The 15,914-nt window shown below is 37.1% G+C and overlaps 1 long non-coding RNA gene across 4 annotated transcripts in view; it reads left to right on the top strand.

Annotated features, from left to right (window-relative positions):
* Positions 1-15,914, top strand: part of LOC107986306 (uncharacterized) — a 201,750-nt gene that overhangs the window by 23,291 nt on the left and 162,545 nt on the right. For all 4 annotated transcript variants that reach the window (XR_001741797.2, XR_001741800.2, XR_001741798.2 and 1 more), the window contains one exon: positions 957-1,088. This is a non-coding gene — a long non-coding RNA (uncharacterized LOC107986306). The remainder of the gene's footprint in view (positions 1-956; positions 1,089-15,914) is intronic.

The raw sequence follows: 15,914 nt of genomic DNA, 5'->3' as shown, positions 1-15,914 counted from the left end.
AAAAAGAAATGCATTTGAGTTGCCATAATTTTTATTAGCACTTTAGAATGTTAATGAAAATCATAGCATATATTTATACAAACAAATCAAGACCAAGGATAATCTGAGATTCACGCAAAGACAAAGCATCTGAATCATTTGTGTTCTTAAATAATAAACTGCGTAAGGATGGTGTACAAGTGGCCAACAAATATATGAACATATACTCAACATCAGTCATCATCAGAAAAATGCAAATTAAAACCACAAAAATGTATCTGTTCCCATCCATTAAGATGGTAACTATCAAGAAAACAAAAACAATATAACAGGTGTTGGTGAGAATGTGGAACAATTGGAGGTCTTGTGCACTGTTGGTGTGATTGTAAAATGATGCAACTGCTATGTAAAACACAATGGAGGTTCCTCAGAAAATTTAAAATATAACTTCTACATGATTCAGCAATCCCACTACAGGGTATAGCAAAAGAATTGAAAGCAGGTTCTGAGAGAAATGTTTTCATACTTGTGTTCAAAGCAGCGCTATTCATATTACCAAGAGGTGAAAGCACCCCAAATATCCATCGGTAGATCAATGGAGAAACAAAATGTAGTGTGTATATAAATAAATATATATATGCGCATTGGAAATATATGCATATATATATTTGCAATGGAACACCATTCAGCCTTTAAAAAGAAGGAAATCTTGTTGAATACTACAACATGGTTGAATCTTTATGTGATGGTTGTTTTTAATGTGTCAACTTGAAAGGTCCATGAGTTGCCCAGATTAAACATTGTTTCTGATTGTGTCTGAGAGGGTTTTTCTAGATAAGAATAGCATTTGAATAGGTGGACTCAGTGAAGTAGATTATCCTCCTCAATGTGAATTGGGCATCTTCCAATCCATTGAGGTTCTGAATAGAATAAAAAGTAGAAAAATAAAGAAATGGCCTGTTTTCTTCCCCTGACAGTTGGACTGGGATTTACATTATTGGCTGCCTTCATTTTTGGATCTTTGACGCAGACTAAATTATACCACTGGCTTTCCTGGATCTCCAGTTTGCAGACAGCAGATTGTGGGACTTTTCAGCCTCCATAATCATGTAAGCCAATCCAATTCCTCCTAAAATCTGTGTGTGTGTGTGTGTGTGTGTGTGTGTGTGTGTGTGTGTGTATGACCAATACACATTTTATTGGTTTATACACTCTATATACACTTCATAATTGAACTTGATTGGTTCTATTTCTCTGGAGAACCCTTACTAATACATTTGAAAACATTATGCTAAGTGAAATAAGCCAATCACACACACAAAAATACTGTATGATTACACTTATATGAGGTACCTAAAGGAATAAAATTCATAGACAAAGAAAGTAGAATTGTGCTTACCAGGGGCTGGGGTGAGAGAGAAAAGAGGAGTTGATTAATGGGTCTAGAATTTCAGATTTGCAAAGTGAAAAGGATCTGGAGATCAACTTCACAGCAATGTGACTATTTCTAACTGTCCACTTAAAAATGGTGAAGATGGTAAAACTTTATGTTACATGTTGTTTTTTTTACCACAATTTAAACTGTTGAAGAACATTTTAAAAACTTTAACATGAATATCTAGAGCCTGTGGTTTACATAAACTCCACATGGTATCTAATTACATTGATGTTTGCCATGATCAAACATCAGGGCTGCTTGAACTGCAGCCCAAAGGTACTGCAGTATCTTTTCTTGCTCTAGTTCTCAAGCAGTTGGTAGTCTTTAGTGTTACCTAGTTTATACATCAAAGCAGTATTACCAAGCATGGAATATATCACTTCCAGAATCTATAAAGCGATATCACATATTACACTTCCTTATTAACATTGGGAGGTGCAACATGTAATCATACATCCTTTGGAAGGGATGTCCTAGCATGTTACAGACCACCAGACCCATCAATGTTTTTGTGATATGTATCTCTGTGGGATTTATCTATCACCTTTCGGTATCCATGTGTTTAACCAGGGCCTCCATGACACTAGTTACTTCTTGTACATTCAGATTGACCAACAAGGCCTTATTATAAGGATTATTGTGATATTCAGCTGGGTGTTAAGTGGGTTTAGATTATTTCAGAATGTATTATAACAGGCAAGGAGAGAGCTAACAGAGGCTCAATAGTTAACACAGATACAGATTGTAAATGTGCATTTTTGTTCATTTCACATGAATGGAAACTGTTTTGATAGGGATGGTTGTTTTTGTCTTTAGTGGGTTTCACCTATCTCTACTTATTATACTTATCTGTGCAACAATAGCTATCACTAGGAGGTGCAATGACTCCAATGATCACCTGTGGTCAGGGCAGGAGTCTGTATTACCTGAAGCACAGGGGCTGAAAGTAGAGGATGATTAGTTCTTCTGTGCTCTGTCTTAATAGAACCAAAATGAAAGGAAAAGGAAGACTGAACTCCCCTCCCACACTGCCAATTATATACCAGGATTGGAGAACAATACAACAAAACTATTCCTTCAATAGCTGGTCTTGTACTTGCCTTCTAGAGCCTGGGGAAATGCCCAGCTCGCCCTTTCCATCCACATTCCTCTGCTCATTCAACAGAACCATCTGGTGTGTGCCTACCATGTGCTGAGGACTTAGAAGCAACACCTCAGTCATTTTCCTTGGGGATCTCTCAGTCTGTCAGCTGTGGTGATAGGGACAGGCAACCCATAAGACAGGTGGGGAAGGGAGCACCGAAAGTCAATGAAGAGATGTGATCTGGAGTGATTTACTACCAGGCCAAGTGACAGTCACCCTATTTTGCTATTTTTTAATTACCATTTCGAATTAATAATGTGTCTCTTCCCACGCATCCCCCTCAGAGTGGGGCGTAAACACCTTTGTATGTGACTGTGCAGAGCTTTGAAGCTCCCAGAACAGCAGCCCTCCTGCCTTGCCTTCTCCCCAGGTAATGTGACCCAGGCCTGTCCTTGGCTGCAGCCACCAACCCCACCCGGAGCGGCTGTCTGAACTGCCTGGCCTGCCTGGGTCTCCACGAAGGCCAGGATCAGGCAGAAGGCGATGGAGGCACCTCCCGCCTTTGCTTCGTTAGTCCCAGGACGAGCGGGCCCGCGCGTACCCGGAGAGGGGCGGCGGCGCGGGTGGCCTGGCGGGTCCCGGGGCCTCGGTTCGCATCGGAGTCCCCTCTGTGCTCGCCCTGCAGCCGCTGCCCGAGAGGTCTGAGTCGCCACCAGCTGTGTCCGCGGGGATGTGGGGAGCGAGATGGGAGGGGTCGCCCGCTAGTCGTCCCCGCCGGACACCGGGCACCGCGTAGCCTCAGAGAGCCGCCCGGACGCGGGGCCGCCCTGGGGAGCGGGTGAGGCCGAGGACCAGGGGGAAGGAGGAGCCCGTGGACGGCTGCAGCCCCAGGTAATCTCCATGGAGGACTGGGCTGGTCTCCTCGCCCAGAAACCCGAGCCGTGAGCCTTGGAATGCGGACTCCAGGGGCGGCTCGACTAGACAAGTTTCTGGCAGCTTGAAAAGAGGGAGTCCTGAAACCGACACTCATTTTAATCAGCCTGTCTTTTCCTATTTAAAATTATTTTATTTAGGCAACGAAAAGATAGTCTCTGGGTGACTGTAGTTTTCTAAGTACAATCCTGAAAGTTTTCACTTGCTATGTTCGTTTACATTGTGCATATTTATTAAACTGTTGACTTTTGGTTAATCAGACAACAGACATTTAACCTATTCTTAACGGAACATTGAAAGTTCGCTGTTATGTTTTGGAGTGCTGCTTTTCTACTCTGTTAGCCTCTGTCTTCCCATAATAACACCAGAACCAGTCCCTAGGTAGTAGTTTTTGCATGTGACAGTTCTACTTCTGGGATCTTCACCTGGTTAACCACCTTTTGATTGCTAAGATTAATAAGGTATTAAATAACAAGAGATGCTGCTGCACTAGGGCTGGTACTGCTACCACTTGTGAAACCCTGTGCTAAGTTGATGGGAGTGGATACTGCGATCCTTGTCTGACATGTAATATTCCTTAAAACCATCTCAAGCTCTTTTGCCTTTATTCCGGGTGTGACTAATCATTTGCACTATACACTAATAATGCCTGATTTGTAAATATATGAACTTTTAAAAGACAAAACTCTGACTTTTCTTATATTTAATTATTCTAAGAAATTTAGCATTGAGATAATGTTTAATTCTATTCTAATTAGGTACAATAAAGCCTTTAGTTAAATCATGTTTTTAAAAACGCACAACTTCTTTTTACTTTCATGTATTTTTAAAACCTTTTACATCTTTTGTAACAAGATCCTTCCCTAAAATTGTCTAAGATTGCAGCCAATTTGTTATGCTAATTTTTCCTTGACTGGCTGAAAAGCATAACATAAAATGTTTTTATGTCTTCCTAATGTATAAATATAAATCAGCAGAGTGCATTGAAATGGAAACGTATTCTATTTAATGTAGGAAACCAACATAATGTTTCAGAGTGCCTCTTTCCTCCTCTACTTCTTGAATTATCCCAGTTTTTGAAGTGGGAGTTTTCTTGGTTGTACTCCCTGCAAACTCTCTTCCTACTTGCCTACTAGAGCAGAGTTAATTAGAATGTAACAAATTCACACATTTCTTCTCAGAAAAATATATACTGTGTTGGCTTCTGATACTGTTAAATTACTTTTAGCAATTTTAGGTAATGTATTTGACAAGTCCAAATCCAAATATTTTTCAATCATTATAGCTAAGTGTATGAAAGAGTGACTAAATAGTTATTAGTTATTTTAAAGAACTTAATATACTTTAGTTACAAATTAACATATTCTAGATGGCATTCTTTTTCTTCCCAATGGAATGCTAACTTCAGGATGATTTTATTTATAAAATAAATACATTTTATGTCTGGGCAATTTCTGGTATTGGAGGAACCAGATAGATAGGATACATTGATAAATGGATGCTTCCTCTTGCTGATTTTGCAGAACTGTGCATACTTTCCAAAATTTTGCGAAACTTTACAGCACGTAGTTTTTGTATAAATTTGGTTTTATTATGATATATATATATAATACGGCTAGTGATTCCAGAAAATAATTGGTGACTCTAGCTTTTGTTAAACACCTTGACAAAATATGGTGGCAATGTTTCCTTGGTCAAGTTTTGAGGAGGAATGTTTATAAATATATAGATATGAATATTAAAATACAGTTACATATAATATAATTATAAGTAATTAATGTACATATATAATTTGTATATATATTTACAAATAATAGTAACAAGATCCTACCCTAAAATTATATATATAGTGAGTATATATATACAGTGAATATATATATAAAATGAGTGTGTGTATATATATGTGTGTGTGTGTATATATGTGAGTATATATATAAATTTATTTATTTATATATACTCATATATATTTATTTATATATATGCACACATATATACTTATGTATATATACTTATGTGTATATATATAAACACACACACACACAAGTATATATAAAATATATATATATACACACACTCACTAAGTTCCAGGAAGTTCTGGAATAGGACAATTAGGTTCTTGTGTAAAATTCAGTCACAGGTACATTGTGAATATGTGAGATACATTGTTCCCGTCAAAGTGATCACTGCCATTTTGGCAGTGTTGATGTAAGTATCTTCATAGCTTAACATTGATGTGATTGATGAAGGTGTCCATTCATTGAAACTAGGTTCATATAAAGACTACCCTGGTGGTTACAACTCCTATTTTTGAACTTCAATATTCCTTTATTTATTTATTCAAGAAGTATTCACCACGCTGCTGTCATGTCAAGCTCTTTATGTCACGCCCTGTTAAACTGTCATGTCAGTCACTGTTTGAGAGAATGTAGAATTGAAAATGTGGGAAGCTTCTATAAGATCTAGAAAACAGCCTCAAACAGGCAAATCTAAGAGTTACTTGCCTTAAAGAGAAAGTAGGAAGAGAAATAGGGGTAGAATATTTACTCAAAACGATAATACACGAGCACTTCCCAAACCTAGAGAAAGGTATCAGTATCCAAGTACAAGGTTATATAATACCAAGAAGATTTAACCCAAAGAAGATTACCTCAAGGAATTTAATAATCAAACTCCCAAAGGCCAAGGATAAAGAAATGATAGTAAAAGCTACTGGAGAAAAGAAAGTAACATACAATGGAACTCCAGTACATCTAATTGCTGACTTTTCAGTGAAAACCTTATGAACCAGGAGAGAGTAGCATGACATATTTAAAGTGCTGAAAAAGGAAAAAAACAATTACACTAGAACAGAACATCCATCAAAATTATTCTTCAAGTATGAAGATGAAATAAAGACTTTTCCCAAACAAAAGTTGAGGGATTTTGTCAACTCTAGACCATTCCTACAAGAAATTCTAAAAGGAATTTTTCCAATATGAAAGAAAATGACATTTATGAACAAGAAGAAATCATCTGAAGGTACAAAATTCATTGGTAGTAGTAAGCACACAAATAAACAGAGTATTACAACATTGTCATTGTGGGGTGTAAACTACACTTAAGCAGAAAAACTAAATGCTGAAACAATAAAAAATAATAACTACAACAACTACTCAAGATTGGTACAATAAGACATAAACAGAAACAAAAAAGTTAAAAAATGATGGATTAAAGTATGGAGTTTTTATTAGTTTTCCTGTTTTTTTTTTTGTTTGTTTTATACGCAGTGTTAAAGCATTATGAGCTTAAAATAATGAATTCTAAGGCAGTATTTGCAAGACAGTATTTGGTAATCTTAAATTTAAAAAAACATTCAATAGATACACAAAATTAAAAAGAGAGAAATTAAGTTATTCTACCAGAGAATACCACCTTCGTTAAAAAGAATACAAGAAGGAAAGAAAGAAGGAAAACAAGACCATAAAACAGCCAGAACACAAATACCAAAATGGCAGGAGTAAGTTCTCACTTATAAATAATAACATTGAATATAAATGGACTAAACTCACCATTAGAAAGACACGGAGTGACTGACTGAATGAATTATTTTTAAAAAGGTGCAATGATCTGTCGCCTACAATAAATACTACATTTATAAAGATACAAATTGGCTGAAAATAAAGAGATGGAAAAAGATACCCCATGCCACTTGAAACCAAAAAAAAAAAAAAAAATACAGGTGTAGCTATACTTATCACAGGTGAAATAAATTTCAAAACAAAAACTGTAAGAAGAAACAAAGAAGGCCATTATATAAAAATAAAGGGTTCGATTCCTCAAAAGGATATGTAATTGTAAATATATATATACACATAATACTGGAGGACCTAGATATAAAGCAAATATTATTCAAGCTAATGAGAGAGAGAGATCTGAATACAATAATAGCTGAAGACTTCGACACCCAACTTTCAGCATTAGACAGATCATCCAGACAGAAAATCAACAATCAAACATCAGACTTAATCTGTATTATGGAACAAACAACCCTAAAAATATTTACAGAAAATTTCTTGCAATGTCTGCAGAATACATAATTTTCTCTTCAGCACATGGATCATTGTCAAGGATAGACTATATATGAGGTCACAAAACAAGTCTTAAAACATTCAAAAAATTGAAATGATATCAAGCATCTTCTCTGATCACAAGGAAATAAAACTAGAAATCAATAACAAGAGGAATTTTGGAAACTATTCATATGCATGCTGTATTAGTCCATTCCCACACTGCAGTAAAGACATAACTAAGCCTGGGTAATTTATAAAGAAAAGAGGTTTAATCAGCTCACGTTCTGTGGGCTGTACAGGTTTCTGCTTCTGGGGAGGCCTCAGGAAACTTACAATTATGGTGGAAGTTGAAGAAGAAACAGACATGGTCTTCACATGGTCAGAGCAGGAGGAAGAGAGAGAACGGGGAGGTGCTACACATTTTCAAACCACCAGATCTCATGAGAACTCTATCACGCGAACAGCGAGGGGGAGGTTTGCCCCCATGATTCAATCACATCCCACCGGGCCCCTCCTCAAACACTGGGAATTACAATTCAACATGAGATTTGAGTGGGGACATGGAGACAAACCATATTATTCTGCCACAGACCTTCCCAAGTCTCATGTCCCTCTCACATTTCAAAACACAATCATACCTTCCCAACAATTCTCCAGAGCGTTAATTCATTCCAGTATTAACTTGAAGTCCAAGTTCAAAGTCTCATCTGAGACAAGCAAGTTCCTTCTGCCTATGAGCCTGTAAAATAAAAAAAAAGTTAGTTACTTCTATGATACAATGAGGGTACAGGTATTGGGTAAATGTTCCCATTCAAAAATGAAGAAATTGGCCAAAACAAAGGGGCTACAGGCCCCATGCAAGTCCAGAACCCAGCAGGGCAGTTATTAAATCTTATTCCAGTATAATCTTCTTTCACTCCATGTCTTACATTCAGATCATGCTGATGCAAGAGGTAGGATCCCAAGGCCTTGGGCACCTCCACCCCTGTGGCTCTGCAGGATACAGTCCCCACAGCTTCTTTCATGGGCTGCCATTGAGTGCCTCTGGCTTTTTGAGGTACATAGTACAAGCTGTTGGTGGATCTACCATTCTGGGGTCTGGAGGATGGTGGCCCTCTTCTCACAGCTCCACTATGCAGTGCCTCAGTAGGGACTCTGTATGGAAGCTCCAACCCCACATTTTCCCTTTGCACTCCTCTAGTAGAGGTTCTCCGTGAGAGCTCTGCTCCTGCAGCAGGCTTCTGCCTGGGCATCCAAGCATTTTCATGCATTCTCTGAAATCTATGTGGAAGCTCCTCATATGGTTTGGCTCTACGTTCCCACCCAAATCTCATGTCGAATTGTGATTCCAAGTGTTGGAGGTGGGGACTGGTGGGAGGTGATTGGATCATGGGGGTGGTTTCTAATGGCTTAGCACCATCCTTCTAGTGCTACCTTGTGATATAATTCTCACAAGATCTGAGTGTTTAAAAGTCCGTGGCACTTCCCCCTTTGCTCTCTCTCTCTCTCCTGCTCAAGCCATGCAGGATGGGCTGGCTTCCACTTAATCTCCCACAATAATTGTAAGTTTCCTGAGGCCTCCCTCAGCCATGTTTCTTGTACAGCTTGCAGAACCATGAGCCAATTAAACCTCTTTTCTTTATAAGTTGCTCAGTTTCAGGCATTTATTTATAGTTACATGAGAATTTATAAGTTACCCAGTCTCAGGCATTTATTTATAGTTATGTGAGAATGGAATAATATAACTCCCAAGCCTCAACTCTTGCCCTCTGCATACCTGCAGGCTTAACACCATGTGGCAGCATTGGTGGCTTCTGGCTTGCACCATCTGTCGTAGTGGCCTGAGATGTATCTGGGGTCTTTGTATCCATGGCTGGAGCTGGAGCTGGAGCAGCTGGGACACAGGGCACCATGTTTTGAAGCTGCACAGGATATCGGGGCCCTGTGCCTGGCCCACAAAGCCAGTATTCCCTCTCAGGCTCTGAGGCCTATAATAGGAGAAGCTGCCAGGAAGATCTCTGAAATGTCTTGGAGGCACTTTTCCCATTGTCTTGGATGTTATAATTTGGCTCCTCTTTATCTATGCAAGTTTCTCCAGCTGAATTTTATTTCTCCCCAGAAAATGGGTTTTTCTTTTCTACCACATGGCTGGACTCCAAATTTTCCAAACTTTTATGTCCTGCTTCTTTTTTAAATATAAGCTGCAGTTTCAGATAATCTCTATGTGCACCCATATGAACATACACTGTTAGAAGCAGCCAGGCCACAACTTGAATCCTCTGCTGCTTAGAAGTTTCTTCTGCCAGATACCCTAAATCATCTGTCTCAAATTCAAAGTTCTACAGAGCTCTTGAGCAGGGGCACAATGCCACCAGTCTCTTTGCTAAAGCACAGCAAGAGTGATCTTTACTCCAGTTCCTAATAAGTTTCTCATATCCATATGAAACTTCCTCAGCCTGGACTTTACTGTCTATATAACTAGTAGCATTTTGGTTGCAACAATTTAACAAGTCTGTAGGAAGTTCCAAACTTTCCCTCATCTTCCTGTCTTCTTCTGAGCTCTCCATACTGTTCCAACCTCTGCCTATTACCCAGCTCCAAAATCACTTCCACATTTTTAGGCATCTTTATAGCAATGCCTCACTTCTCTGGTACCAATTTTCTGTATTAGTTCATTCTCACACTGCTATACAGACATAACTGTGACTGGGTAGTTTATGAAGAAAATAAGTTGAATTGGCTCATCATTCTTTGGGCTCTACAGGCTTCTGCTTCTGGGGAGTCCTCAGAAAACTTATAATCATAGGGTAGGGTGAAGAGGAAGCAAGCATGGTTTTCATATGGCCAGAGCAGGAGTAAGAGAGAGAAGGGCAAGGTGTTACACACTTTCAAACAACCAGATCTTGTGAGAACTCTATCACAAGGACAGAAGGGAGAAGTTTGCCCACGTGATTCAATCACCCCCCACCAGGCCCCTCCTTCAACACTGGGAATTACAATTCAACATGAGATTTGGGTGGGGACACAGAGCCAAACCATATCACATGAAAATTAAACAATATACTCCTGAATAACCAGTGAATTAATAATTAAATTAAGAAGGAAATTGAAAATTTTCTCAAAACAAATGACAATGGAAACGCAACATATTTAAATGTCTGGGATAAAGCAAAACAGTACTAAGAGGGAAGTTTATAGCTATGAGTGTCTACATCAAAAAAGAATAAAAATTCAAATAAGCAACCTAATAATGCATCTTAAGTAACAGGAAAAGCAAGAGCAAACCAAAACCAAATTTAGTAGAAAAAAAAAGAAATAATAAAGATCAGAGCAGAAACAAATGAAATTGAAATGAAGAAAACAATGCAAAATATCAATGTAACCAAAAGTTGAATTTCTGAAAAGTTAAAATGGACAAATCCAGACTAATTAACAAAAAAAGGGAGAATGTCCAATAAATAAAATTAGAGACGAAAAATAGGAGGCATTACAATTGATACAGCAGAAATTCAAATGATCACTAGTGACTTCTTATAAGAAACTATATGTCTATCAATTGAAATATCTAGAGGAAATGAGTGAATTTGTAGACACATAAAACCTACCAAAATTGAAACGGGAAGAAATACAAAATCTGAAGAAACCAATAGCAAGTAATGAGATTGAAGCTATAATAAAGTTTTCCAATAAATAAAAGCCTGGAACTTGATGGCGTCACTGCTGACTTCTACCAAATATTTAAAGAATAACTAATACCAATCCTAATCAAACGATTTTGAAAAGTAGAAGAGGAGGGAGTAATTCCAAACTCATTCTGTGAGGCCAGTATTGTCCTGATACCAAAAGCAGACAAAGACACATTAAAAAAAAAAACTACAGTCCAGTATCTCTGATGAATATGGATGCAAAAATCCTCCAGAAAATGCTAGCAGACTAAATTCAAGATCACAGTAAAAAATATTCATCCTGACTAAGTGGGATTTATCCCAGGCATGCAAGTGTGGTTCCACGTACACAAATCAATCAGTATGATACATCATGTCAACAGAATGAAGGACAAAAACTATATAATCATTTCAATTGGTGCTGGAAAAGCCTATGATAAAATTCAACATCCCTTCATGACAAAAACCCTCAAAAAACTGAGTACAGAAGGAGCATACCTTAACATAATAAAAGGCATATATGATAGAAGCGCAGCTAGTATCATACTGAATGAGGATGAACTGAAATTCTTTTCTCTAATATCTGGAAGAAGAAAACGATGCCTGCTTTCACCACTGTTATTCAACATATTGCTGTAAGTCCTAGCCACAACAATTAAAAAAGAAAGATATACAGGGCATCCAAATTATAAAGGAAGAAATAAAATTATCCTTGTTTGCAGAGGATATGGGCTTATATTTGGAAAAACCTAAAGATTCCACCAAAAAAGTATTATTACTGATAAACAAATTCAGTAAAGTTGCAGGATACAAAATCAACATATAAATAGTAGTAGCATTTCTATATGCTATCAGTGAACACCCTGAAAAAGAAATTTTAAAAGTAATCCCAGTTAAACAGCAAGAAATAAAGTTAAAAACCTACCAGTGCCACTCTCAATGTGAATAGAATAAAATAAAATGAAATGTATATGGAACCACAAAAACCCAGAATAAACAAAGCCATCATGAGCAAAAAGCAGAAAACTGGAGGAATCACATTACCTGACTTCAAATTATCCTACAGAGATATAGTAACCAATACAGCATAGTAGTGACATAAAAACAGATACGTGGAGCAATGGAACAGAATAGCAAACCCAGAAACAAATCCACACATCTATAGCAAATCAATTTTTGACAAGTTGCCAAGAATATACATTGGGGAAAAGACGGTTTCTTCAATAACTGGTCCTGGGAAAATGAGGTTCATATGCAGAATTATGTTACTAAACACTTATCTCTCACCATATACAAAAATCAAATGAAAGTGGATTTGAGACAAAGAAGGAGTTTTTGTCCGAAGGTTGGGTTTATAGTTTGATGACCTTAAAATTTAAAGCAGTGGCAAATATAAAACTCTGTGTGACTTGTAAACCTAGGCAAAAATGTATGTAGAAAATTTTGAAAACATTTTTGTCTTTATTTTATCAACAAATTTCAAACCAGCTTATTTTCAAAGATTTACTTAAATCACATAATTAAAAGGCATTTGGTTAATTACTATATAGTTTATATAACTGTTCATTTATGTAAGCCAATCTAAATATAATTTCTGTAGGGATTTCTGGCCAACTACACCAGGTTATACCACGTAAACAAAACATACATATATAAAGACCTAAACACATATACAAACACAGAAATAAACATCTTATAGCTTTCACTGCAAAATTTAAGTCGCGAGACAATAAAACAAAGTAATACAAGCTCACTGGTTTATAAAAGACAGCTGGATCCAAATTATATTTCTGACAAAATAAGACCTGTTCAGATGGCTAAATTTTATTTGCTCCTATAGGTAATCGAATGAAAGCTGCAGATCCCAATTTTTGGGTAAAGCAGTTTGGTTTTCAAAAATTTTCTTTTATCCCTTTTCTGTCCTTTTTTTCATTTTGCAATGAATTTGAGGTTAAATTTTCAAATGTTTACATTTTCGCTAGGACTGGCTGAAGTGTATAGGAAAAATATCCCCAAGTGCCTTTGAATTTTTTTAGTAACAAATCTTTCTTTTGTTTATTCATCTGCTTTGTTAGACTAGTCAATGTCAGTAGGGAAAGCATTTTAGTAGTGCTTTTATTTTTAAAAGGAAGAGTGTATCCAAAGGTTTTTATTTTTATTTTTATTTTTATTTTTGGTGTTTTCTGGACCCTGCATTGCTGGCAAAGCAATTCTTATGCCAGACAGGAATACCTTATAGTTTTTATCTCAGACCAGGAGTTTGATCTGTTTGGTCTGAAAGCCTACTTGTTTCTTTATTATTTTTTCTTTCTTTTTTTTTTAAATATCAATTCTTTAGTTAACTATTCTATCAGCCTAAGCAATTATCACTCAGACAAACCTAAATTTACTTTTCCAAAGGTGTCCAGGTTGTTGGTTGTCATGGAGTTGTTATAATTTGTAAAATCAATAATTTGAAAGCTCCTTAAGACATTTTTTCTTAATTTGTTTGAAATGCCCTAAGACTTCTAAGTGACTTTTGAAATTAGCAATAGTACATTATCTTAATAAAAGCAAAAAAAAAAAAAGCCAAAATATTTAGAGTAGGCAGGAAAAGCAATACAGAGATATACAGAGAATTTAAAAGACCCTACATGTTAACTCTATAGTTGGCTGCAGTTTCTAATTCAGATATAATAAAAACAAGCTTGGAAAGTTCTAATAATCCTCATCATGGTCACAGATTTTAAAACCTGCACAGGAAAAAAAGCTATGTACCTGACTGGGGTCCCAGAAAGCTTGGCATGCCTTAATGTTTAAGAGTCCCATTTTTTTTTCTTATTAATCTCTCAAGAGCAAAGAAAATCTTATGTTAGTAAATCCTGTCAGGGAGTTTGAAACTGGGTTTTAGTTGGAGCAATTGCCCTAGTGGCTTTTAATTTTCCATCTCACATTCATCATTTGGAATGTTTATTTTTGCTCTCAGAAGATGTTCAGAAACAAGCAAAGAAAACAAGAAGAGCTAAATTATTTACAAATGCACATAACCAAACCAAAATGAACCAAAAATCAGCGTACTCACAAATATGTTAATGCAGATATGTGGATTAAACAAAATGTTAAACCAAGCATGCAGACACAAAAGTAAATTATCCAGAAAGGTCATGCTTCAGAGACAGAATGTAAATTCTCTAAAAACCAGAGTACTCAAACTAGAAAGATGCTTGTCTTTATGCTAAGAGTTTGGTCCCCCGCAAAAACATTTATAGTTCCAGAAGAGATGCCACATCTTTCATTTTGAGTGGCCTTATAACAAAATCAGATCCCAAATAAAATCCAAAATAAATTGAGAAAACTAAGGGAGGAGATACAAGAATCTAAGGAGATTCACCAGGACAGTAAAGGTGATCCACAGTAGCAGAAGGCACAAAAACTTGGTAGGTACCACACACAATTCCAGGGGCCACCAATCCAACTGAGGTGAGCTCACTTCACTTCCATTTCTGGCAACAATGTAATAAGTAGATAGGAAGCTTTCTACAAACAATGTGAATAGGCATTGCAATTGGGACATGAGTACTATAGTAACTATGTGCATATTTAAGGAGGCAAAGGAAGACAAAGGTTTTTAAAGAAAAAATGAGGAGTATTACATAATTGTTTGAGATAATTATTTTGGCTGCAAAGATCAGTGTTGGGATGGCACCGGTCAGAGGATGGACAGGCAATTGCTGGGCAGAGTTCCTCATGGAAATGTGAGTGTGTTTAAGATTGTGATGGCCTTTGTCCAAATTTGTGGAATTTGGCACAGTCTTATGTGATAGTTCTTGCTCTCAAGCATTTGTGCATGAGAACCCTTCCTTTATGGCCTTCCCTAGCTTTATTTGTCAGGTTTTTTAACTCAAGTGACTCCATTTCTATTCTGACAATTTTCACAGCATGTATAGTGATCTCGATCCTTAGAAAAGCAGAAATCGAAATGGGATCAAATTGTTTAGGGAACTTTTTATTGGAAAGACCAGTGAGAGACAATTGAGAAAGGGGAATAAGAAAGGATGAGAGAGCCATCAAATTGTGATGCCTGTTTAACCCAGAACTGCAGTATAATCATAAGAAAAGGTCATCAAGATTTTGAGAATCCTCAATAAGACTGTTTTAGTCCATTTTCACTCTTCCATAAAGAAATATCAAAGACTGGGCAATTTATAAAGGAAAGAGGTTTAATTGACCCACAGTTCTGCCTGGCTGGTGAGGCCTCTGGAAACACAACCATGGGGAAAGGCAAAGGGGAAGCAAGGCACGTCTTGCATGGCAGCAGGAAAGAGAAGAGGGGGCAACTGTCACTCGTAAAACCATCAGATCTCATGAGAACTCACTATCATGAGAACAGCATGGGGGAAAACTCCCTCATGATCCAATCACCTTTCACCAGGCCCCTCCCATGACACCTGGGGATTACAATTCAGATTATAACTCAAAATGAGATTTGGTTGGGGACACAGCCAAACCATATGAGAGAATTTGAGTCGGACTCTTTTCAGAAATCTGAATCTCTCAGAAACACCAAGCATTACTTTCCCTGCCATGTTTAGTCATTAGCTGGCAGCAGCCTGTGACTGCTACAAATACAATGATGCATTTCAGAGCTCAGCAGCTGGGACTGTCAGTCAATGATATTCCCTACAATTATTTGAGAGATATATTCTCATGGCCATCAAAGAAGATGATTAAGAAATATGTGATAATATAGGGATTTGTTAATATGAAAAATGCAAGATTCTAATATA

Source organism: Homo sapiens, chromosome 4 (assembly GCF_000001405.40).
Source record: "Homo sapiens chromosome 4, GRCh38.p14 Primary Assembly".
NCBI classification, from domain to species: Eukaryota; Metazoa; Chordata; class Mammalia; order Primates; family Hominidae; genus Homo; species Homo sapiens.
This window is presented reverse-complemented; position numbering and strand designations above follow the sequence as displayed.